Source organism: Homo sapiens, chromosome 1 (genome assembly GCF_000001405.40).
Source record: "Homo sapiens chromosome 1, GRCh38.p14 Primary Assembly".
NCBI lineage: Eukaryota > Metazoa > Chordata > Mammalia > Primates > Hominidae > Homo > Homo sapiens.
The window spans coordinates 153,530,829-153,552,649 of record NC_000001.11 but is presented as its reverse complement, the minus strand read 5'-3'; the positions used below and the strand labels follow the sequence as shown (position 1 = coordinate 153,552,649).

At 53.7% G+C, this 21,821-nt stretch overlaps 4 protein-coding genes and 2 long non-coding RNA genes across 14 annotated transcripts, besides 10 other annotated features; 4 read left to right on the top strand and 2 right to left on the bottom strand.

Annotated features, from left to right (window-relative positions):
- On the bottom strand, nt 881-6,908 carry LOC101928034 (uncharacterized). The gene is made up of 3 exons (NR_125947.1): nt 6,741-6,908; nt 3,535-4,229; nt 881-1,407 (listed from the first exon to the last, which is right to left on the bottom strand). It is a non-coding gene; the product is annotated as an uncharacterized LOC101928034 (long non-coding RNA).
- Nucleotides 2,179-2,740: an enhancer, noted in NCBI's record as "H3K4me1 hESC enhancer chr1:153522386-153522947 (GRCh37/hg19 assembly coordinates)". NCBI's record gives its function as "activates a minimal SCP1, AML or CMV promoter by ChIP-STARR-seq in primed H9 embryonic stem cells {active_cell/tissue: H9 hESC(primed)}" and the evidence as "EXISTENCE:reporter gene assay evidence [ECO:0000049][PMID:30033119]".
- Nucleotides 3,043-3,337: a silencer, noted in NCBI's record as "tiled region #14368; K562 Repressive non-DNase unmatched - State 7:EnhWF". NCBI's record gives its function as "represses a minimal TATA promoter and a strong SV40 promoter by Sharpr-MPRA in K562 cells {active_cell/tissue: K562}" and the evidence as "EXISTENCE:reporter gene assay evidence [ECO:0000049][PMID:27701403]".
- Nucleotides 3,304-3,865: an enhancer, noted in NCBI's record as "H3K4me1 hESC enhancer chr1:153521261-153521822 (GRCh37/hg19 assembly coordinates)". NCBI's record gives its function as "activates a minimal SCP1, AML or CMV promoter by ChIP-STARR-seq in naive H9 embryonic stem cells {active_cell/tissue: H9 hESC(naive)}" and the evidence as "EXISTENCE:reporter gene assay evidence [ECO:0000049][PMID:30033119]".
- On the top strand, nt 3,392-5,321 carry S100A3 (S100 calcium binding protein A3). Its single transcript, NM_002960.2, has 3 exons — nt 3,392-3,469; nt 4,160-4,305; nt 4,804-5,321. Exons 2-3 carry the CDS (start codon nt 4,165-4,167, stop codon nt 4,966-4,968), a joined length of 306 nt encoding a protein of 101 aa, NP_002951.1. The 5' UTR covers nt 3,392-3,469; nt 4,160-4,164; the 3' UTR covers nt 4,969-5,321.
- Nucleotides 6,574-6,763: an enhancer, noted in NCBI's record as "active region_1746". NCBI's record gives its function as "activates an Ori minimal core promoter by ATAC-STARR-seq in GM12878 lymphoblastoid cells {active_cell/tissue: GM12878}" and the evidence as "EXISTENCE:reporter gene assay evidence [ECO:0000049][PMID:35858748]".
- Nucleotides 6,774-7,354: an enhancer, noted in NCBI's record as "H3K27ac-H3K4me1 hESC enhancer chr1:153517772-153518352 (GRCh37/hg19 assembly coordinates)". NCBI's record gives its function as "activates a minimal SCP1, AML or CMV promoter by ChIP-STARR-seq in naive and primed H9 embryonic stem cells {active_cell/tissue: H9 hESC(naive and primed)}" and the evidence as "EXISTENCE:reporter gene assay evidence [ECO:0000049][PMID:30033119]".
- S100A4 (S100 calcium binding protein A4) lies at nt 6,844-9,029 on the top strand. 2 transcript variants are annotated; one of them, NM_019554.3, is made up of 4 exons: nt 6,844-6,897; nt 7,132-7,180; nt 7,841-7,996; nt 8,727-9,029. In NM_019554.3, the coding sequence occupies exons 3-4, from the start codon at nt 7,856-7,858 to the stop codon at nt 8,889-8,891; spliced, it is 306 nt and encodes a 101-aa protein (NP_062427.1). In that variant the 5' UTR covers nt 6,844-6,897; nt 7,132-7,180; nt 7,841-7,855; the 3' UTR covers nt 8,892-9,029. The 2 variants fall into 2 exon arrangements, with proteins under 2 accessions (NP_062427.1, NP_002952.1); NM_002961.3 differs by lacking the exon at nt 7,132-7,180.
- Nucleotides 6,914-6,963: an enhancer, noted in NCBI's record as "active region_1745". NCBI's record gives its function as "activates an Ori minimal core promoter by ATAC-STARR-seq in GM12878 lymphoblastoid cells {active_cell/tissue: GM12878}" and the evidence as "EXISTENCE:reporter gene assay evidence [ECO:0000049][PMID:35858748]".
- Nucleotides 7,355-7,935: an enhancer, noted in NCBI's record as "H3K27ac-H3K4me1 hESC enhancer chr1:153517191-153517771 (GRCh37/hg19 assembly coordinates)". NCBI's record gives its function as "activates a minimal SCP1, AML or CMV promoter by ChIP-STARR-seq in naive and primed H9 embryonic stem cells {active_cell/tissue: H9 hESC(naive and primed)}" and the evidence as "EXISTENCE:reporter gene assay evidence [ECO:0000049][PMID:30033119]".
- Nucleotides 8,965-15,503, top strand: S100A5 (S100 calcium binding protein A5). Of its 7 annotated transcripts, none has more exons than XM_017002029.2 (4): nt 8,965-9,410; nt 11,179-11,265; nt 12,445-12,596; nt 15,214-15,503. In XM_017002029.2, the coding sequence occupies exons 1-4, from the start codon at nt 9,389-9,391 to the stop codon at nt 15,352-15,354; spliced, it is 402 nt and encodes a 133-aa protein (XP_016857518.1). In that variant the 5' UTR covers nt 8,965-9,388; the 3' UTR covers nt 15,355-15,503. The 7 variants fall into 7 exon arrangements, with proteins under 7 accessions (XP_016857518.1, NP_002953.2, NP_001381163.1 ...); NM_002962.2 differs by lacking the exon at nt 8,965-9,410 and adding an exon at nt 10,841-11,065; NM_001394234.1 differs by lacking the exon at nt 8,965-9,410 and having other exon boundaries at nt 10,841-11,265.
- On the bottom strand, nt 14,975-19,208 carry LOC124904423 (uncharacterized). The gene is made up of 2 exons (XR_007066630.1): nt 18,729-19,208; nt 14,975-17,746 (listed from the first exon to the last, which is right to left on the bottom strand). It is a non-coding gene; the product is annotated as an uncharacterized LOC124904423 (long non-coding RNA).
- Nucleotides 16,034-16,669: an enhancer, noted in NCBI's record as "H3K4me1 hESC enhancer chr1:153508457-153509092 (GRCh37/hg19 assembly coordinates)". NCBI's record gives its function as "activates a minimal SCP1, AML or CMV promoter by ChIP-STARR-seq in primed H9 embryonic stem cells {active_cell/tissue: H9 hESC(primed)}" and the evidence as "EXISTENCE:reporter gene assay evidence [ECO:0000049][PMID:30033119]".
- S100A6 (S100 calcium binding protein A6) lies at nt 16,659-18,051 on the top strand. Of its 2 annotated transcripts, none has more exons than NM_014624.4 (3): nt 16,659-16,701; nt 17,290-17,448; nt 17,820-18,051. In NM_014624.4, exons 2-3 carry the CDS (start codon nt 17,311-17,313, stop codon nt 17,952-17,954), a joined length of 273 nt encoding a protein of 90 aa, NP_055439.1. In that variant the 5' UTR covers nt 16,659-16,701; nt 17,290-17,310; the 3' UTR covers nt 17,955-18,051. The 2 variants fall into 2 exon arrangements, with proteins under 2 accessions (NP_055439.1, XP_016857522.1); XM_017002033.2 differs by having other exon boundaries at nt 17,275-17,448.
- Nucleotides 18,623-18,917: an enhancer, noted in NCBI's record as "tiled region #2166; K562 Activating DNase unmatched - State 5:Enh". NCBI's record gives its function as "activates a minimal TATA promoter and a strong SV40 promoter by Sharpr-MPRA in K562 cells {active_cell/tissue: K562}" and the evidence as "EXISTENCE:reporter gene assay evidence [ECO:0000049][PMID:27701403]".
- Nucleotides 20,094-20,421: a transcriptional cis regulatory region, noted in NCBI's record as "candidate enhancer chr1.8692 targeted for multiplex CRISPR interference". NCBI's record gives its function as "positively regulates S100A6 gene expression in K562 cells {active_cell/tissue: K562}" and the evidence as "EXISTENCE:mutant phenotype evidence [ECO:0000015][PMID:30612741]".

The following is a 21,821-nucleotide window of genomic DNA, read 5'->3' as shown; positions in this document are numbered from 1 at the left end:
GACAACTCTGTCCCCCCACCCCACCCCTCAGGCCTCACCTCCCAGAATGAGCTCCCGCCCTCCCCGCAGTCTCAGTCTGAGTCTCTCCCAGTCCTCTCCCAGTGGACAAACCAAGGTGCTGCAACCCAGAGAGGTCTGCCAAGCTGAGAAACGCCAGGGGCTGGCGGATGAGGACAAGGGCAAGGAGCCGGGCTGCTGGGCTCTTCCCTGACCACCCATATATTAATAAAGTACGTCGCTCCCTACGATCATCTTCTTTCTCCCAGCTCTGCTTTATTTTTCTTCATAGCATTTATATCAGCAATCTGTTAAGCACCTATTTTGTTATTGTCTGTTTTCCCCAAGAGACTGTCATCTCCACAGAGCAGGGACTTTTGTTTTGTTTATGGCTATACCCCCAATGCGTCTAAATATTTATACGAAAAATGAATGCCTGCTAGGCCTGCCACTCACTATTACGTGACCCTGGGCAAGTTACCCATCTCTCTCTCTCTTTTTTTTTTTTTGAGACAGTGTCTTGCTCTGTTGCCCAGGCTGGAGTGCAGTGGCACGATCTCAGCTCACTGCAACCTTCGTCTCCTGGGTTCAAGCGATTCTCCTGCCTCAGCCTCCCGAGTAGCTGGGATTACAGGTACGTGCCAATATGCCCAGCTAATTTTTGTATTTTTAGTAGAGATGGGGTTTCACCATGTTGCCAGGCTGGTCTCGAACTCCTGACCTCAGGTGATCTGCTCGCCTTGGCCTCCCAAATTGCTGGTATTATAGGCGTGAGCCACTGCGCCCGGCCTCACCCATCTCTTGATTAACATTTATCAAGCCCTTGCCATGTGCTGGGCACTATTTACTCTATGAACTTTATATGTATTAGCTTATTTAAACCCCGCACAAACCTATGAGGTAGTTACTATTATCACCCTCCATCACTGACAGGTGAGTAAAATGAAGCCCCGAGAGCAGAGGTAGGCTGCTTAAGGGAGGTGGCTGGGGGCAGAGCTGGGATATCATAGGTGGGAATAATTAAGCTCGACCTAGAGCTGAATTAATTGCTGGTGCACTCTGGCCCCCCCTTCTGCTGCGTGACTGTCTCTTGTTCTCTGCCCCCTGCTCCCCATACTTCCATTAAAAAGCCCATATAAAACAGGGCTATGTAGCCCATTATAAAACAGGGCTAATCACAGCTCCTCTTTTCCTTCCCTCCTCTATTGCTCACTCCCCTCCTCAACAGGGCTGAGTCTCCAAGGAGAGGACGGCACAGGCAAGGCTTGGGTGCTGGGGGCCGAGGGCGAGGTCGAAGGTGTCACTGGCGCTCTGGCTGCCTGCACGGGCAGGAAGGCTTCTTTGCCGGCCTGGGAGTCAATCTCCTTCCTCTTTTCCCTCTCACGCTCTTCTAGGTTTTGGGTTCTCTTCCTATAAAACAGGGAGGAGTTTCTCAGGCTCTGGTGTGAGGGAGAGAATAGAGAAGTTACATGAAAGTATGTCTGTTTCTGGTAATATGGTGGTCTGTGCCCACTTCAGCTTAAAAACAACAACAAATGCTGCATAGAATTAAATCTTTTCAAAGCATTGAAGAGACCACAAGGCAGTAAGAAATGAGTAGGCCAAAATCTAAGTCAAAGCAGAATCTGTACTGGGGCCCCCCGTGCCCTGAGGTCATTGGCCAAGCCAAGCCGAACCTGAGCTTTGATCCTGATGGTTTGGGGAGTGAGGAAGACAGAAGTGGAAGCCCAGTTCTCACCCCAAGAGGGGACACAAATGGATGACCCTCCCATGATGCTGAGACCCCAAAAGGCTACACACTCAAGCTAAAAGCCAGAGGAAATCCCATCCTGCCACCCACAAGACTTCAAGGAAAGTTGTTTTGGTGCTGAGCAGAGCAGGGGAAGAAGGAAAACAGCCCTTAAGGAGCTCCAGCCACTGGCCAGCCTTCATGTGACTCTAGCCCAAATTCATTCCCATCACCTGGGGTGGAAGGGCCAGAAATCTCAAGCTTAGACTCTGGAAGTGCCCCTGGGAGGAACACACCTCCTTCCTGTGCCTCAAAGACATCCCACCTGATGATTTCCCCCCTGGGAAGCAAGCAGTTCACAGCCAAAAGCTGGGATCTGGTCAGGCAAGTTCAGACTTCTCGTCTGTAAAGGGGAGGCTTAGCCACGTGCTCTCCAAGTTCTACCCGGAATAGAGATTTGTAGGGGTGCAACCTGAGCGAGGCAGAAGTGTGTCCCCACTTGGTATTCTGGGGGCCTCTGCAGAGTGAAGAGATGGGGCTGTGATGTGATGGATAAGCCAGACTGTCTCCTCCAACTGAGCTGGAAGGACTTGGCAGGAGACTGTCCCCTGTTCCCAACTCTGGGGGAGGGCAGATGGGGAATGAAAGGGGAGTGGTGTCTGAGCCCAGACTGGCCTTTGATGTGTGCGTGGATAGGTGGGCAGGTGGGGCCTGTAATGGGTCTGCTGAGGGATCCCTGAGGGCATCCTCAGTGTTGACCTACTTGTGTCCCCCATAATTGCTTCCTTCCTTTCTTGGGAGGCTACAAATAGTGACGCCCTGTCTCTAAGCTCCTACAGCTGAAACGCCAGCACCAGTGGTGAGTGCCAGCTGCTTGGGTCCTGCCCTGGGTTGAGTGTCAGGGCAGTTTGGGGACCCCCAGTAGCCAGCCTGACTCCTGACCCAGGGTCTGGCATTGGAAGCAGAGAGATGACCACAGGCGGGCCTGACACGGGGAGGGAAGTCAGATATAGTGGACGCAGAGGTTTCCTTACACAGTGAGGGGCTGTTGGGGAAGTTTGGGCAGGGAGGTGTGTAGAGCTAAGGTCTGCCTTGGGGTGGGAGCACTGGGCTCAAGGCTCTGGTCTTCCCCTTGATCAGGCCCCTCACCTGCTCCTTGCCTCCTTGCTTCACCTCTGAGTCTCCTCATTTCTGAGGATCATGGCCCTTTCCTCTCCTGGGAACCTGGACACCTTGCTCTAATCCTGGGGTGTTTACAATGAATTAAATCCTGGCAGTGCTTGGCACTCCCCACTCCCCTTCCCCTACTTTCCTGCCAGCCACAACCATGCCAGCCATTTGCTCCCAGCAGGGGGCCCAGCAGTGGGCAAATCTTCAGGGAGAGTCTTGGCCCTGGCCGCCCTGTGCTGCAGGACTCTTGTCCCGTGGGGGAATCAGGAGTGAGTCACTGGGCTAGCATGGAAAAAACTCTTGCCTTCCTGGCTGCCTTCGGGTTTTCCCAGGCTGGAGGCATCATCCCAGAAGGGCGGTGGAAGGGGACAGTGGAAGTGGGGGGAGGTGAGCAATTCCAGGAAGGGCTTCCCCTCCAATAGAACAGAGTATCCCTATACAGAACCTCCCTGCTCAAAACCCCCAGGGGTCGGGAGGGTAACCTCAGGGGAGGCCAGTCTCAGATTGGTAAACACCCGAACTGGTCAACTCTCAAGAGACCATCTGGTTCAGGTTCCTGACTGGGCCAGCGAGGTGAGATGAACCCCAACTTACAGATCAGGCCCCGCCCCTGAGACCCAGAGAGACAAATGGCTCACCAAGGTTGCACAGCTGGCGACAGGCAGAGAGGATCCCACAAGTTTTTCTTCTGGGTGCAGCTTCCTCGAGTTCAGGGCAGGAGGCAGGGTGAGGGCAGTGGTGGTGAGGCTGTGGGGGCGCCTCTCAGACCTGCCCCTCCCTGCTAAGGCCTAGCTTCTCCAAGGGCTGAGGGCAGAGAAGCACAGGGCCAGGCTCTCCTTGTGCAAGTTCCTGCAGGGAGGGAGGCTTCTAGGGCATCTCATGGGCTGGGGCAGACTGGGACCGAGCCATCCCTGGGTGTTGGGGATAAGAAGAGGTGGCAGATAATCTGAGAGTGCTTAAGGAGCCCCACGGTGGGGTGTGTGGGTGGTGGGGTAGGATGCTGTCTCTCTGAGGAGTTTACAGCGATGTTGGGGCAATGAGACCTCTACATGGGGAAATAACAACAGGACAGCAGGGGGATAAATTAGGAGGGGCTGGTGTGGTCTGGGAGGGCTACTCAGAGGAGGGGGAGACTGCGGGGCCTGAAGCCTGATGGAGGTTAAGATGGGTCTGGGAACAGTCTCTGAGAAACACAGAGGGCAGAGGTGAGCTGGGGGGCTGGCCTGGAACTCTGCTGTGAGCCACACCCTTGTTCTGTGACAGTGAGGATGGCCAGGCCTCTGGAGCAGGCGGTAGCTGCCATCGTGTGCACCTTCCAGGAATACGCAGGGCGCTGTGGGGACAAATACAAGCTCTGCCAGGCGGAGCTCAAGGAGCTGCTGCAGAAGGAGCTGGCCACCTGGACCCCGGTGAGCAGTCAGAGTGTCCGTCCCCTCCTCCTCCGGGGGGAGGCACTGCCTAGACTCTGCAAAGAGAGACCTGGGGACAACAAGCATGAGCACAGGACAGCAAGGGAGGGGGCTGGATTGTGAGGAGGGAGTGGGAGGGGGAGAACTGACACAGCAGAAACCTCAGCTTCCTCATCTGTAAAATGGGATGACAATCATCCCTGCTGCCTTGCAGAGCTGTTGAGAGGACTGAGTGAGAGCACCATGAAGAATGCCTAACACTTGGTAGGCACTCAGTAGCAAATAGTAGGTGCTCGATTAATAATCTGAGAGGACAGATTTGGGAGGGGATTGCAACGAGTGCATTATCAGAGCAGGGAGGTTGAAGTCGGCCCTCAGAAGGGTGTAGTTTGGGGTGGGGTGGGTCCACTTGGGAGAGGAAGGAGGGAGGTGGCGTGTGAGGCTGTTCTGCCCTCCTCATCCTACTCCCTTACCTCTCCCAACCCTTCCCTTGCACAGACTGAGTTTCGGGAATGTGACTACAACAAATTCATGAGTGTTCTGGACACCAACAAGGACTGCGAGGTGGACTTTGTGGAGTATGTGCGCTCACTTGCCTGCCTCTGTCTCTACTGCCACGAGTACTTCAAGGACTGCCCCTCAGAGCCCCCCTGCTCCCAGTAGCCTCTGCTCCAGGGGGTGCGCTGGCTGTCGGGGGCTGGGCATGTCTCCCACACCCCCTCCTACCCTCTCTCCTGTACCCCTTTCAATCTGGACTTGCCCAGGTCTTCTGCGATCAGTTAACCCATTTTACCTAGGAGGCCCAGAGATGTGAGGGCTCCTTCCTCAGGATGCCCAGCGAATGAGGGGTAGAGCCACTCTGGGGCCCAGCCTGCCTGCCGCACCCCTGTGGCCTCCCTTGTGGATGGGAGGAGGCGGGATCTGCTCTGAGGCCCTCGAGGCTCAGCAGAGCGTGCACCAATGAGACCACGATGGGAAAGGGCCTATTTAACTCCTAATAAAAAACTGGCATCAGCTTGGTTTTGTTTGGTTCTTCTCTGAGGACGCGTCTCCTGAGCTCTTTGCTCCTCTCTGGCCTTTTCCACTGCGGGAAGGCAGCTGAGGGCAGGGGCAGGGTGCTCCCTGAGGGAAGTTGCAGACCCTGCAGAAATGCAGTGGCCTCCAGGGTCCAGCAGGAGGGCGTGGGGACAAAACAAGGACCCCTGTCCTCCCTTCCTCTCTCTCTTTCTTTGGGATCTTTGAGAGAGGACTGCCTGAGTTTCCCCTGGGACTCAGTGCTCATGGTTGGAGGAGGGTGGGGCCGTGGGTGCAGTGGGGGTGTTTGTTCCCTGCCTCGGGCTGTGGGAGCCCAGAGAGCAGCACTAATGGGATTAGGGTGTCTGAGGTGTTTCTCCCAGCCAGGAAGGGGTGCTCTGTATGGAGGGGTAAGGGAATAACTTGAGCTAGCCCCTATCCCTGAAGCCGCAGCCCCCTGAGGGCCTTAACCCCCTACTTCTAACCCTCACTGGGTTTGTAGCCCACCCTGAGAGGTTGACCCGAATTATAACTCCCCTATTTCATGCCATTTCACCTCTAACTCTCCACCCCAACCTGGATTCTTCATTCCTGACACTCATCCCAACTTTAAATGGCCCCTCCTGATACCCTCTCCGAACCTGAGATCTATCCGTGAGCCCCCACGCCTCACTGCCACTCCACTCCATCACTACCTCACCCAGGACCTTTCCCACTGACGTTCCTGAGGTGGTCCCAGAGCCTCCTTTGGGTGTGAGCCTGTTCCCCTCCAGATCCCCCCGCCCCGACCCTGAGCCTTACTTGGCATGGCAGACAGTACCGGGCATGGGGATCCCCACCCCAGTTTTTGTTTCTGAATCTTTATTTTTTTAAGAGACAAGGTCCTCTGTGTTGCTCAGGCTGGAGAGCAGTGGCTTGAGCATAGCCAACTGCAGTCTCGAACTCCTGGGCTCAAATGATCCTCCTGTCTCAGCTTCCTGACTAGCTGGGACTACAGGCTACAGCCATGCTGCCCAGCTAATTAAAAAAAAAAATTGTTTTTCCTTTTTATAGAGACAGAAGTCTCTCTATGTTGCCTAGGCTGGTCTTGAACTCCTGGCCTCAGGCGATCCTCCCATCTCCCCCCTAGCTTTTGTGTCACCACATTTCCAGGGCAATCTCCCACCTGTCACCCACCACCCCCTGCATCTCCTTTCCTAGGTCCCCATGGGACTACTCCCTGTCCCCCATGCTCCAGGCACAGGCTGCCCCTTCCTCCACCTCTCTAAAACTCAGGCTGAGCTATGTACACTGGGTGGTGCCCATCTCATCCAGTCCCCTGCTAGTAACCGCTAGGGCTTACCCGTTACCCACGGGTGCCCACCTGGGAACAGGAGGCTTGGTTCCACGGCTGGGCTGGTGGAGGGTGCTGTGGCACTTACCGCATCAGCCCACAGCAGGAAGGCAGTATCCGCTCTCCCCTGTCCCCTGCTATGGGCAGGGCCTGGCTGGGGTATAAATAGGTCAGACCTCTGGGCCGTCCCCATTCTTCCCCTCTCTACAACCCTCTCTCCTCAGCGCTTCTTCTTTCTTGGTTTGGTGAGTTGTGTTGGCCTGACTGGCATGCAAGGGGTGTCAGAGGCCAGGGCTGGGGAAGGAGAAGGGGAGGCTGGTGGGGGCCAGATGTGCTAAAGAGATCCAGATGTGAGATTCTGATGTGGAACTCTGGGTGGATTGTGTGCGTGGGTGTGCATGGCACACACACACATGCACGTAAGACGGAGGAAAAAACAAACAGAAAAGTGAGCAAGTGACTGAATTTGAGCTCTCCAGGTGCTTCTGAGATGTGGGCTTGCACACGCTGTTGCTATAGTACGTGTTGGTATGTATGTGCCTGTGGGTATCTGCACTGGCTCATGTTTGCTGGGTTGCGCACTCGGGAGCAGGAAGCAAAGGAAAGGCAGAAGGCAACTGTGGGCCTTTGTCTGGTGGTGTGCCCCATGAGCCTCTGCCCTGCACGCAGCAGCCCAGCTCGAGAAGGTGCATGGCCTCTGCAGCTTCTCTTCCAACCCTTGCCTCTGCCACCTCACTTTGCCCCTCCCCATGCTGAGAGCTAAGCGGCTGTGCTGGTTTTTTCCACTGCAGGCCCCTGGGCAGGCCTCCAGCAGCCACACCCAGTTCTGGGAGGGAAAAGAATGGCAAGGGCGGGGCCTTTGTGGCTGAGCTGTGGGAGTGGATAGACTGAGTGAGGGGTGGAAAAAATGCTGTTGTTGAGGCAAGGCCTGGGAGGCCCTGGGAGTTTGCTGCCCGAATCTCCAGAGCTTGCGCAGCGGATCTTGCAAATGTTCACTGCCCAGAGCATGTGTTCCCCACTGTGCACACCCTCCCAGCCAGGTGCGGGGGCCCACTGCTCTGGGCTCCCCCAGGGAGGGAGCAGAGTCTCGCCAAGTGCTCCTGGAGGGATGGGAGTGGAGCCTGGCATTCTGAACACATCTCTGAGGGGTGGGATTAATAAGACGGTCTCTGTGCCTCCTGCTCCCAGATCCTGACTGCTGTCATGGCGTGCCCTCTGGAGAAGGCCCTGGATGTGATGGTGTCCACCTTCCACAAGTACTCGGGCAAAGAGGGTGACAAGTTCAAGCTCAACAAGTCAGAACTAAAGGAGCTGCTGACCCGGGAGCTGCCCAGCTTCTTGGGGGTGAGTGGGTAGTGCCTGAGTGAGTCCCCACGTGGGGCATTTCCCACAGAGGAGGGCAGCAGTCTTGCTCTAGAGCATTAGCTACAGAGGGCATCTATCAGTGGGGTGGCTGCCTGGGGTGGAAACACATTGAACACCACCACTCACTGCCTGGCCCCATGCTGAAAGAGGGCTGAGAATGAATGGGTCAGACACTGCCAGGTGCTTTGCACAACTTAACTGAAGGGAAGACTAAGCTCAGAGTGCTAAGTAACTTCCCAAGGTGGTCAGTGTACACAACTGCCATCCGGACCGGGACTGTCTGACTCTTGCCATCACTCCAACAGTGGACACTGTTTGAGTTTCTATTTGGCTTGTAGATGTGAAGACACAGATGTGGAGATGATCACAGGCCTGCAGACGTTCCCTTCAAACAATAACAATGTATATTTGTATCAAACATAACACAGTTTATATATTGTTTTCATGACTATTACTACCTCATGGGATTATTAGAACAACCTTGGGTGAAAATGTAGTGGTCCCGTCATTTTTCCATTGCACCAGGTACTCAGACTTCCTTATCCAAGGAGCACCTTCTCCACCCTAGCTTAGCCTTGAGGGTTGGAGTTCCAAACTGGACCTCCCAAAGGAGCCTCCCTGAACTCTGGTCTGGGAGTAGAAACTGGGTCTGGTCCTGGCTCCACCCACTGGGCTTCTGTTTTCTATCTGTAGCCTCTTCTCCCTCCAGAAAAGGACAGATGAAGCTGCTTTCCAGAAGCTGATGAGCAACTTGGACAGCAACAGGGACAACGAGGTGGACTTCCAAGAGTACTGTGTCTTCCTGTCCTGCATCGCCATGATGTGTAACGAATTCTTTGAAGGCTTCCCAGATAAGCAGCCCAGGAAGAAATGAAAACTCCTCTGATGTGGTTGGGGGGTCTGCCAGCTGGGGCCCTCCCTGTCGCCAGTGGGCACTTTTTTTTTTCCACCCTGGCTCCTTCAGACACGTGCTTGATGCTGAGCAAGTTCAATAAAGATTCTTGGAAGTTTTGAGGCTGATGGTTTGAGAGACTCTGGGGGCGTGGGTTGGGGACTGAGGGATATGTTGTGGGGTGGTGGTGGGGAGAGCTGGGAGTTGAGCTGAAGTTTTATGGACAGCAGACCAGTGAAGTTAGGGGAGGGATGCAGGGTGACTAACAGTGTGTGTGCACAGGCAATAGAGTTCACTCGGTGTGGTCAAAGCCGAGAAGGGGACCCCTCACCACCCCCCTGCCAAGGTTTGGAAGGTCCCAGCTGTGGGATCTCAGCCAGCCCACTTACCCCTCCCACCTCTCTCCAACCTTGCCTCTGGCAGGATCTTGAACCGAGGCTGGAATTGAAGGTCATATCTGTTCCTGGTTGGGGTCTGGAATGGAGTTTGGGTGTCCTGGGAGTAAGTCGGAGGGAAAAGAATAAGGCTGAGTTGCAGGGAGGAAGTATTTAGGCGAGAGTGGGATGGGGAGGAGGGCTGGCACTCAGTGCTGACGTTGACAGTCCAGGCCCTGTCCTGCCACCCACTTCCAGATCATTGGCTTCAAACCACAGGGATGGATTAATCCTTTCCTGTGCGTGGTAGGATCAGGGAGGGCAATGTGGAGGGAGACCCGCTGTTTGCAGCAGCATGAGAATATAGGCATTCTCGAATCCACCGTCTCTGCCATAAAGGTCCCTGGATGAGATCTGTTATCAGTCAGGAATCAAGCTCCTTCAGAGAAGGACAGGGGACCTCAGAAGAGATGAGTGGGGGTCAGTGGCTGGAGTGGGAGTGAGGCAAATGGTGGGAAGGTGACCATAGTTTTGGAGACAAAATTCCACATATATGATCTGACAAATGAAATTGAGATTATTTTCCCCCCAGAAAATATAAGGCATGATATTGCTTCCCCTTAGGTAGGTTCAAGGCCAGTGGCTCCAGGGTGCAGTGGTGGGTTGAGGTTAGACTTCAAGGCCATGTCTGGGTGACTCAGGGATCTTTTAGGAAGAGGTGCATGGAGGTCAGGTGCAGAGGCTGGAGGGCTTTGTCCCACTGACCTCCTCTTGAGGGTCCTCTTTCCTCTCATCACATGGGGCTTTTCTCTCAGGTTTCAGAGGAGTGGGGCAGGTGACTCAGATGTTCCCGCAGGGTTTGAATACAGAGACTTGGGAGGAATTTCAGTTCAGGAGAAAGTCTGCTGCCTTCCGCTGCCCTCTCCATCCACCCTCCCTGGGAGCGCCCTCCCTGGGGCCTCCACCCAGGTCACGCTCTCCTTCAGAGATGCCTACTGCATAGCAACCAATCCCTGCTGCCTCTCCAATCTTGCCAGCTGGGGGTGGGGTGGAGTGGGGAGCAGTGGGGAGGCCCCCCAGGCTGGGGTGGGACTGCAGCAGTGATAGGTACTACACCCTGAGCCCAGGTCTGTTCTTGGACTGGTGGTAGAAGTATGTTGTTCTACTGTGGTAGAACGATGTCTGAGTGTCTCCTGGGATACAGGAAACTCTCCCTGGCCCCTACTTCCTCCTTGACTGCAGCCTGAACCTGAACCCCCCTCCCCAATCCACAACCTCTACCCCAGTGCTGGGCCTTAGCCCTTCGCTGGACACCTTCCCTATTCCTGATTCTCAGTCCTCCATGCCAAGAGTCTCCGACGAGCCTTTCCTGTGAAGAGCAGTGAGGCCTAGAAGAAATCGTTCATTTAAAAGCCCTTTAAAAACCTCTGGGCCCATATTAGCTCATGACCTTGACCATATCCTTCGCAGAAAATATCTTCCTCCACTGATCCCCATCTCAAGGGCTGTCTTCTCTACTCCTGGAGTGGGTGGCAGGATGGGTGGGAGGGGCCCGATGTGGAGAGCTTCCTAGGACACGGGGAGATGGTGCCCTGTGTTTGTCCCACACTTCTGAGGTTTTCTTTCCAGGACAGCCTGGTTTCCCTTCTTCGGCTTATTGTTCCATCAGATTTCAGATTTTGAGTTCTGATTTTTGGTCAGAAGAGTAAAGTTTCTGGGATTGGGGACGTGTGTGCTATGGGAACTCAGTGTGTCCCCAGCCCTTGTTTGTAAACAAGGAAGGTGAGATTGGCAGAAGGGGTTTCTCCCCAGCTCCATCCCGGGAGGCTCTGACGTGGGCATCCTCAAGTCCCCAACAACTTCTCATGGGCCCTTTCTCTCCCCTGGATTCCTAGGGACAGAGATCAGGGAAATAAAGGCAGAAGGCAGTGAGAGGGAGGCTATGCCTGCTGCTTGGATTCTCTGGGCTCACTCCCACAGTGGTAAGTCCTTCCTTCCTATGTCTCTGTTCATCTGATATCTGGTGGGTCACGCTGGATGATGAGGGTGACAAGTGGTGGTGACCTCCACCAAGGAGGCCTGGCCCCACAAGCGGGCATGCGCTCAGGGAGAAGAGGGCAGAGCCTTTGGAATTTCTTGAGAAATGGCTCTGGGGTGGAGGTGGGGGTCTGGACTAGCCAGGATGCTCCTGCAGGTGCACAGAGTCCCTTGCCTTCAACTGTGGTCCCAGCTGAGTCTCCTTGAGGTGGGAGAGGCTGAGGTTTTTGTGGTGGGAGAGGAATGATGGGTCTGGTTCAAGAATGGCAGGGAGGGCTTTGGGCTGGAGGTGAAGACTCTCCACAGATTTAACCTGCAGCCTTCAAGTTCCGTGGGTGTTGCCTCCTTCCTCCCTGAGGGGGAAGTGGTTTTTGAGTCTGAGTCACTTGAGCTCCATCTGTCTCTTCCCTTGGCTGAGGGTGGCTGTGCTATTGGAATCCAGGCCCTTATTCAAGCGTAGCCTCTGGATCCAGGTTTTGGAATGATCCTGGAGATTTCAAGAGGCCCCCTGCCCTCCCTGCCCGCTGACCCGTCTCTGTGTGCACTGCTCTGGGCCAGAGTCTGGAGACCAGCTGGGCCAGCTCAGCTCACCTCCCTGCTGCTCCTTGTTGAGACCCCATCACCCAGTTCCAGCCCAGCCCCCTCTCAGCCCTGGACTCTCTCTTTGCCCTGTCCCCGACTTTAATAATGGGACACTCCTCGATATCAGGTGATTCAGGCACTGGGGGAAAGGCTGGTGAACTGCCTGTGGAAAACCAGTTCCTAAGCTGGAAGAAGCAGAGAGAAAATCGTGACCCTTGATCTGCTCCACCATCTGCCACCAGGGCCTTTTGAGGAGGTCGTCTTCTCATCTTTCTGCCTCAGGCCTACTTTTCAACAACTCCCCAGCAGGAGAGTCTGTGGTCTCCTTTGGGGTCTTGCTGTTCTCCTTGTACCAGCAGCTCCAGAGTTTGTTGTGGGTCTCATTGTAACCTGTACTGATATAGATGGGCGCTCTTGTTAGTGGATTTCAGTCTCATCCTGGGTTCCAGTCTCTTGTTCTTTGAGGGAGGGGCCTCAGAGGTAGGCTAGTGCTGCTGGTGGTGACTTCCTGAGGAATGGGATCTTCCCCTCTCCCTCTACAGAGCTGCACACTGTGATGGAGACTCCTCTGGAGAAGGCCCTGACCACTATGGTGACCACGTTTCACAAATATTCGGGGAGAGAGGGTAGCAAACTGACCCTGAGTAGGAAGGAACTCAAGGAGCTGATCAAGAAAGAGCTGTGTCTTGGGGAGGTAGGTGATTGTTCCCTCATCCTCCACCCCAAAGTCTGAGTACTCCCTCTGGGGGACACATACCTACCCTCAGGATCCTCCAGCCTAAGCCAGGGGCAGGGTGGCCAAGGGCTACAGACAGAGACAAAGGAAGATGGTGGGGATTTCGGGCCAGCAAAACTCTAGCCCTCTGTGAAGGAGAATGGGTCAGGGTCTCACTGAGAAGGAGGAAGGGCTGAGTCTGGAGGGTTTAGAGAAGGAGATTGAGGAGCCTTCGATGGTGGGGCCAGGCTCTCCCAGCAGTGGCAGAACCTGTGCTAGGGGTCATGGGTGGTGAAGGGATGCAGGGTGTCCAGGTCCAGCTGTGTACAACTCAAGTGTAGGGACTCTGCCTGATTCTTCTCTGTGTGCACAGCATGGCCAGGGCTCTCTGATGGTGCTGGCACTCAAACTGAAAGGTTAACTTGTAAACATAGGGTAGTGAGGAGACAGAACTGGTTCTCACCAGATGGAGGTGGTGGGAGGGAGGTGACTGACAGAGGGGAAGGCCCATGAGGTTATTATAATACAATATCCCCGAGGATAAATAAATAAATAAATATATATATATATATATATATATATTTTTTTTTTTTTTTTTTTTTTTTTTTGAGAGAGTCTCGCTCTGTCACCCAGGCTGGAATGCAGTGACATGATCTTGGCTCACTGCAACCTCCGCCTCTCAGGTTCAAGCGATTCTCCTGCCTCAGCCTCTTCAGTAGCTGGGATTACAGGCACGCACCATCACGCCCAGCTAATTTTTGTATTTTTAGTAGAGATGGGGGTTTCACCATGTTGGTCAGGCTGGTCTCGAACACCTGACCTCGTGATCCATCTGCCTCGGACTCCCAAAGTGTTGGGATTACAGGCGTGAGCCACTGCGCCTGGCCAAGGATAAATATTTTTGAGACAGAGTCTCACTCTGTCACCCAGGTTAGAGTGCAGTGGTGCGATCATGGCTCACTGTAGCCTTGAACTTTCAGGCTCAAGTGATCCTCTTACCTCAGCCTCCTGAGAAGCTAGGACTACAAGCAAATACCACCACGCTTAGATAATTTTTAAAATTTTTTGTAGAGATGGGGTCTCACTATTTTACCCAGGCTGTTCTTGAACTCCTGGCCTCAAATGATCCTATCGCCTCAGCCTCCCAAAGTGCTGAAATTACAGGCATGAGCCACTGTGCCTAGTCTTATTATTTTTATAGTTAAAAAAAATCAATGCTCAAATACATCAAATAACTTGCCTAAGGACAATCCGCTAGTGGGAGGCTGAGCTGGAGTTCTGGGCCAGGCCTGTGAATCATCCTCCCTGTTTCCTTTAAAATTTAGCCTGGGTGCCTCTCCATCTATCACACCTTGAGCCCTGGTAGGCCCTCCCAGAAAGAAGGTCCACAGTGTGCCACATGGGCAGGGGACAGAAGCAGGTATGGGCGTCCCCAGGCCTGATCTCTGGCCTTCTGCCAGGCTGCCTGCATCCTGGAGGTTAATGAGGGCAGAGGGAGGGGCCACAGGTCCAGCAGGGATTAATTACAGAAGGAGAGACGCCCAGAGGAGGGCCTGGCAATAACAGGAGCCCAGGCTGGGGACTAGGATCACGTGACAGACAAGCAGTTTCCGCCTTTGTAAGTCCCAATGTCTCCTGTGAAAACCTGTAGCTGACGGCAATGATGAGGAGACATCAGGATCTGCTTGTCTATATTTTCTTCCTGTTCCACCCAAAGGACCCTGACTCCATCGTCCTAATGGAGCCAGGCTGGGACATCAGGGGACTGAACAACAGTGCACAACCAGGCTCCAGGCAGGCCTCTTGCACAGCTCTCCTAGCAGGGGAGGGATGCAGTGGCTTCACAGCCCCAGTGCACTGCTCTCATTGAGAGACATTTTGTCCGGGGTTATTCTCACCTAGTCCTTAGAATGGGGAGAGAGTCACTCAGAGACTTGGATAATGCTCAATGCCACATAATCAGCAAGGTGTTCTTTTTTTTTTTTTGAGAAGGAGTTTCATTCTTGTTGCCCAGGCTGGAGTGCAATGGCATGATCTTACTTACTGCAACCTCCGCTTCTCAAGTTCAAGCGATTCTCCTGCCTCAGCCTTCCAAATAGCTGGGATTACAGGGATGTACCACCATGCCTGGCTAATTTTGTATTTTCAGTAGAGACAGGGTTTCACCATGTTGGTCAGGCTGGTCTCGAACTCCTGATGTCAGGTGATCCACCCGCCTCGGCCTCCCAAAGTGCTAGGATTACAGGTGTGAGCCACCACACCTGACCCAGCAAGCTGTTTTTATCAGGTGTTGGTATAAAACCTAGATGATTGTTTCTTTGGCTGGGGGACAGTATTGCAGGGAAGGCAGGCTAGGCTAGCATTCCTGCTGTCATTTATTTCCATTCAGGAGTCAGGTCCCTGACCCCCTACCTCATGCCAGGCCCTTCCCTAGGTGTGGGCAGTGGGCAGACTCTGGGGGTCGAGATGCTGACAGTGTCATTGACTCAGCTGGGGCTCACCCTGAAGTTTCGGGGTGGGGATGACACCATGCAGTGGTGCGAGGGCAGGGCTGGGAGCGGGGTCTGAGCTGTCTCTCCACCTGGGTCCACAAAAGATGAAGGAGAGCAGCATCGATGACTTGATGAAGAGCCTGGACAAGAACAGCGACCAGGAGATCGACTTCAAGGAGTACTCGGTGTTCCTGACCATGCTGTGCATGGCCTACAACGACTTCTTTCTAGAGGACAACAAGTGACCAGGGCTGCCCTCCACCCTCACCCTCCACCCTTTGCTGCTGACCTCGGCTGCTCCTCTCACAGACCCTCTTTGGCCCCCTGCCCTCCTCTCCCTCCCAGATGGACCCTTCCATGGGAGGAAATAAAGTTTCCATCGCAGGTGCTGGGAGTCTGGTTTTGAAGCTGTCTTGTCTACCTTGGCCTGGGGAGAGGGGAGCACAGGAAGGGTCTCTCCTTGAGTGGGTTGAGACAGCTTCTGCCTCTGGGGGTTAGGGTCCTGGGCTCCCACTGCATTCCTCTCCTTCTTTGGTGTGGACGTCATTGGTTTTGTCATGGCTTAGTTTTGCCTGCCTGGAAAATGGGGAAGTTAGGCCAGGCGGGAACTCTGCAAGGATGCAGAGGAAGTTAAGAGGGAAAGTTGCTTTGAGAGGAGGACACTGGGAGGGGTTGGGAGTGGCTCCTGAGGGCGGTGATAGGCAGGCAGGCCTGACTTGTCCACAGCTCACCGGAGGCCACCTTGGCAGCACCTGTAGGAAGGGCATGTCTGGCCTCCACACCAGCCCCCTCCCTCTTCACCATTTCCCCTTCAATAGCACCACTCTCATCATCTATGGGGGACAGTGCTTTCTTCTCTCCCTGCCTCCTCCATCAAAATCTTTTCTCAGGGGAGGGTCTGAAAAGGCCTTCACTCCCCCGTAAATAACGAATGGTGCTTACAGGGCTGGGCTCCCACGTGCATGCACATTAACACCAAAGGTGCTGTAGTGAATGGAATTTGGGGCACTGAGGGGAAGGAGTGGAGGTGTTGGTAGGAACTTGTTGCTGGTGGGGGATGGGCGCCGTAGATATCCTTTACACCACTGGCTACTCCCCCTATCTCCTCTGGGGTGACCCTGAGTATCCTCTGTGGGACACCGGCATCCTGTGAGGCGCCCTCCTTGCCCACATTGACGCTGCGCTGGCTCGAGGGTCACATTCACGGTCTGGCAGAGGAAGCAGGGGTGACCGCCGCAGTCCTCCTCCTGCTCCCCTTGCCGAGTCACGTGTCACGAAGAGCAAACTGAGCAAACTGAGCTGCGCAGATGAGGGGAGACTCGTCACCAGGCGTGCAGTGGGCACTGCTGGGCTCCCCCATCCCGTCCTAACCCGGAACAGCCCCGGGCAGGAGGCGTGGAAAGTCGAGGGGGTAAACCGCGAATGTGCGTTGTGTAAGCCACGGCGCAGGGTGGGGCGCGGGCGGGACTTGGGCGGGCGGGGTGGGCTTGGCCGAGCTGGCCTCCGGGGCACCGACCGCTATAAGGCCAGTCGGACTGCGACACAGCCCATCCCCTCGACCGCTCGCGTCGCATTTGGCCGCCTCCCTACCGGTGAGTTCTCTCCAGGAGCCCTGGGTACTTTCCAGGGCCAGCTGCCCTCACGCTGGGGGTCCAGCCATCCCCTGCCCAGTTCAGCCGCTGGATCCAGACTGGGGCCATCTGTGGCGCTCCCCCGCTGGAGGGATAGTCAGGAGCAGCAGTGCTGTGCCAGGCAGGCCTTGGGCTAAGGGATCGCAATGGGGTGTGCTCTTTTGGGGTGCGGAAGGGAGTGCCCTGGGTGTGTCATTGCCACCATGTGTGGCCCTGTGAAGCTGTGTTTAAGCTGCCTTTGCAGCCTCCATTCCCCTCCCCTGCCCAGCCATACTCCTCAACTTCTGGATCCCCTGAAGGACAGTTCTCAGCTGTGCCCAAAGCTACTGTTCCTATATGCTTCTTAGAATCCTTAAGCCACCTCTCTTGCCTTGGCCCTAGTGTGCTCTCTCCTTCCCCTTCAAGCCCTGGGCTGTCTCCTGATGCCATTGTGTGTGGCCTGAGACTGGGTGGTTCCAAAGGAGGCGGGGCTAGTGCAGGCAGCATTATTGGGGTGTGTGGGTGAGAAGTCCTTGCTCCCATGGCACTGACTAGGCCCTCTGCTGCCAGCTCCAAGCCCAGCCCTCAGCCATGGCATGCCCCCTGGATCAGGCCATTGGCCTCCTCGTGGCCATCTTCCACAAGTACTCCGGCAGGGAGGGTGACAAGCACACCCTGAGCAAGAAGGAGCTGAAGGAGCTGATCCAGAAGGAGCTCACCATTGGCTCGGTGAGTGGCCTCCTCCCCAGGACCCCTTTTCCCACCCTTGTCCTTTGGAAGCAGGATTAGGGGAGAGAGAGGTGCCAGGTGCATCTGACTCACATTTACCCACATTCTGAGGCCCTGGTCCACATGTAGACCCTGAGCTGTAGACCCACTCTCCCAGCGGGTAGGGGATGCTTCCAGCCGGATATCCATCTCTCCAAATGAGGACCAGTAACTGAGAAGTAGCTGAGGAGAAGCAATGCCAAAGTGACATGGGTCCTTGGTGATGAGGGAGCACAGAGCCACTTGCAGAGAGGATTGCCTGGGAGGGGGAAGGGGAAGAATCCAGGGTTGTCATCACCACTGAGTATGGATTTCACATTCTAACACATTAGAAGCTGCAGGATGCTGAAATTGCAAGGCTGATGGAAGACTTGGACCGGAACAAGGACCAGGAGGTGAACTTCCAGGAGTATGTCACCTTCCTGGGGGCCTTGGCTTTGATCTACAATGAAGCCCTCAAGGGCTGAAAATAAATAGGGAAGATGGAGACACCCTCTGGGGGTCCTCTCTGAGTCAAATCCAGTGGTGGGTAATTGTACAATAAATTTTTTTTGGTCAAATTTACCCTTGCGTCCTGGCTTCCGAATGATTTCTGTTCCTCCTTGGCTTAGTGGGACACCAGCCATTGGAAGATTTGCTCACGGTCAACCTCTGAAAATGACTCATTGACTCGCCAGGCCAGAGGACCCACCCTGACAAGGCTGCCTCTAGCACATAAGGTGCCTTTATGTGAATGAGGAGAGATGCCCCTCTTGGCAACGCCATCCTAAGGAAAGGCTCAAGTGGTTTCCAGTAGAGAGAGTCCTGGGATGAGCTTGGAGATGGAAATGGTCCCTGGGCCGGGATGTGATGGGGTTTGGGGGCCTGGAAGTGAGGCAGAGATAGTCCCAGAGGCTCCCAGATGTGTTTTGCTCTGGGTGTGGCAAGAGGGGCCCTGGGGTGGGGCAAGTCCCCTTTCTCATCACAGCGCAGGGGTTAGATAGGGCACATCTGAGATGCCTGAGGCTTGGCTCAGGGAGTTTCCTACACCAGTGAGGACGCTGTGTGACTGAGTCTACTGCGGCTGCCCAGGTCCCAGGTGGAGTGGGGGAGGCACACTCTTGGAGTGTGTCCCTGCATTCAGGGTGAGGGCTTTTTGTTGGAACGGTGGTCTGAGGAGCTGGCAGCTGCACCAACACGTGAACCACGGGGTGTTCAGTAATGGGGCGGGGTATCCCTGCAGCCTCAGCGTAATGACTCACCCGGCACTTCCACGGGATCCCAGCCTGGATCTCAGCCCCCATCAGAGAAGATGACTAATTGAATCATTGTCCATCATCTGGATTAGTGTTTTCAGGCAGAAGGGAAGAGGATAAGGAGGGTAAACGCTGTTTCCGGGTGATGCCACATCATTCAGCCTCTCTAGGCCTAGTCCGAGCTGGGCAAGTTTACCTCTAGCTTCTGGGGAAGAGATCTTGACTTTAGATGGAGACCACATCCTTCTTTCCCTCTCACCTCCCCACTTCCCTTGGGGGTCCAACTTTGTGGAATTAAGTTGTCTTCTGTCCCCACTGGGTGGGGATTGGTAAACAGCTGGGAGATGCACCTTCTTGGAGGCCCTCCTTCTCTATTGCCTCCCCTGCCCTGCAGGGAGAAGTCGCGCTGTTGGTTGCAAGAGACCGGGGGCCGAATTCCCTCTCTGCACAGCCGTGCCCAAGCCTTGGCTCTATTCAGCTCCCTCTGGAAAAGTACGCGCTCCCTAACCCCTCCCGCGCCCCTCTAGGTTCCCGCCCTACACCCCTTTCCTCCCCCTTTCTTCCAGTCCCTCTCCGCCTGCCTTCCAGTGGCTGACAACTTGGGGTTCGGAGCGAGCGCCCTCCTGTGGACAGAGAGCAGGGCGCTGCGGGGACAGTCGGGTTGGTTTTCTTGAGCCTCTGGCAGGGGCCCGCCGTGGGGCTGTGGCCTGGCAGTCAGGGGAGTCCTTAGGAAGAGGAAGACAGAATAGGGCGCCCCGGGAATGTCAGGGTAGGGGGATCCTTTAGCTCCCGGCAATCAGCCCTAGAATTAAGCAACTCAGCTTCACAATTGACACACCTACAATAAGCAAGTCCATGAGGGAAAGGCGGTCCCTTTGTAAAGACAAATGGAATCGGAACCCTGCGCCTCCCCTCCCCAACCTGCAGGGCTAGAAGACCTTCGTACAAATCAATGCTCCCTGAGGAGAGGGAAGAGGAGTTTCAGTGACAGGAAGCCCGCTGCTGCGGGGAGGGGATGCTCAGGCAAGGCCGTCTGCCGGGCGTTCCTGGGGAGCTCTGGTGGGTGGGCAGGCCACCGGTGCAGGAGAATCAACACAGGTGCACAGTCCATCTGCTCAGTAAACAGGCGTGTCCTTTCGTTTCTGCTTCTCCACAGTGGTGGAGGGGAAAGGGAACATGAATTTCAAGAATAAAACAAAAAACAAAACAAACAGCAAATCTTTAGGGGTATAATTTTTTAGGTTTTTTTTTTTTTTCTCGCAGGATAGGGGAGGGAAGCAGCATTTACAATGGAATATGGTAGGTGCAGCAGTCAAATGGTGGAATTGGGTGTGGAGAGGTGCATAGACTGGACGTTTTATTGCTCCGACCAATTTAAAGTTGGAATTGAATCCTTTCAGCTCACTGTTGAGTATGGTGTGGGCTTACAGGATGGGGAAAAGTTAGGATGTGAGCTGAGGGCTTCATGAGAGGTCACTTTGCTTCTCTGAAGGTTGAGCAGTGGGAGTGGCTCTAGTCTCTCCACTTCCTTCAGTTGAGGTCCTCCCATTACTGACATTAATCCTACAATCTAATCACCCTAACATTGGTGAAGCTGCAACAGCAGCACCACAGACCATCTCTGTAAACTGGGGCAGGCCCCAGTTAGGGGGTTTAGGACTGAGTCACAGGAAGTAGCTCTCTGTTTTTTGCCAAGCAAAAAGGAAATTGTCAAGAATAATGCCACCACCTTTGTATAGGACCACATTTTTATAGCAGCTTCATTTTTGTGAGGCACCTATCATAGCCATTGCCTCTTGTCATCTTAGAAGATTTGTGTGTAGTATGTATTATTTTATTTTAATTTTTTAGAGACTGTCTCTCTCTGTTGCCCAGGATAGAGTGCAGTGACACTATCATAGCTCACTGCAGCCTCCAACTCCTGGGCTCAAGTGATCCTCTCACCTCAGCCTCCCGAGTATCTAGGACTACAGGTGTACACCAACATGTCTGGCTAATTTATTTTTTGTAGAGATGAGGTCTTGCTGTTTTGCTCAAGCTGGGCTTGAATTCCTGACCTCAAGTGATCCTCCCCACTTGGCCTCCCAAAGTGCTGGGATTAAGGTGTGAGCCATGTGAGCCGCTGTGCTCAGCCTGTGTAGTATATATGATTAACCCCACTGGACAAGTGACAAGAGGGAGCTACAGGGAAGCCATTGCCTCTACCCAGGTCAGACTGTAAGTTAAGAGGGAGCTGCGAGCAGAGCTGAGTTCTCCTGATTCCAGGCCAGCTCATTAGTGCCTGTCTCATGACATTCTTTGACCATTTCTTCCTTATCTTTTTCTCTTAAATGTTTTAATTAGATATTGGGAATACATAAAACTGTTTATAGACTAAATCTAAGATATAAGAACAATGACACAAAATCCACCCAGTATAACAAGTGAACATTACCATCACCTTCTAATTCCCTAACTTGTCTTCCCCATCCCATTTTCTTCCCTCTCAGTGGGACCGCTGTCTGGTAATACTATTTGTCATTTCCTTTCTTAATAATTTTTACTACATGTATTTTCATCTCTAAATGATATATGGGTTTACATTATTGTGAGTTTTATGTAAATGGAATAATGCCATGTGCATTCTTCTGTTACTGGCTGTTTTTCACTCAACGTTATGTTTGAGATTTATCCAAGTTGCTCTAGTTTGCTAGTTTTCACTGCTATGTAAGAGTTCATCATATGACTATAACATTATTTATCCTGACTATTGCTAATTATCATTTTGGATTATTTCTATTTTCCCCATTACAAACAGTGCTTCTGTGACCATTCCTGTAGATATCTCCTAGGATACGTACCAGAGTTGCTGGAGGTTTGCACCTATGAGTGGAATTGCTGGTGTGTAGAGTACTCACTTTCATTTTTACTAGAAAATGCCACCTTGTTTTTCAAGGTTATTGTACTAATTTGTACTCATAACAGCTTTGCATGTTCCATTTATTCCACATCCTTATTTTTTGTTGGGCTAAGTTTTTTTGGTGCCCAGTATGAAATGTTAACTGATTTTTAAAATTTGTATTTCCAGGATTACTGATGATTCTGAGCATCTTTTCTTTT

Coding starts and splice junctions, on each gene's coding strand:
- S100A3 (NM_002960.2), top strand. CDS start 4,165: ATGGCCAGGCCTCTGGAGCAGGCGGTAGCTGCCATCGTGTGCACCTTC. Junction 4,306..4,803: donor AGCTGGCCACCTGGACCCCG/GTGAGCAGTCAG, acceptor TCCCTTGCACAG/ACTGAGTTTCGGGAATGTGA.
- S100A4 (NM_002961.3), top strand. CDS start 7,856: ATGGCGTGCCCTCTGGAGAAGGCCCTGGATGTGATGGTGTCCACCTTC. Junction 7,997..8,726: donor AGCTGCCCAGCTTCTTGGGG/GTGAGTGGGTAG, acceptor TTCTCCCTCCAG/AAAAGGACAGATGAAGCTGC.
- S100A5 (XM_017002029.2), top strand. CDS start 9,389: ATGGAGTTTGGGTGTCCTGGGA. Junction 9,411..11,178: donor GGAGTTTGGGTGTCCTGGGA/GTAAGTCGGAGG, acceptor CTGGATTCCTAG/GGACAGAGATCAGGGAAATA. Junction 12,597..15,213: donor AAGAGCTGTGTCTTGGGGAG/GTAGGTGATTGT, acceptor GGTCCACAAAAG/ATGAAGGAGAGCAGCATCGA.
- S100A6 (NM_014624.4), top strand. CDS start 17,311: ATGGCATGCCCCCTGGATCAGGCCATTGGCCTCCTCGTGGCCATCTTC. Junction 17,449..17,819: donor AGGAGCTCACCATTGGCTCG/GTGAGTGGCCTC, acceptor CTAACACATTAG/AAGCTGCAGGATGCTGAAAT.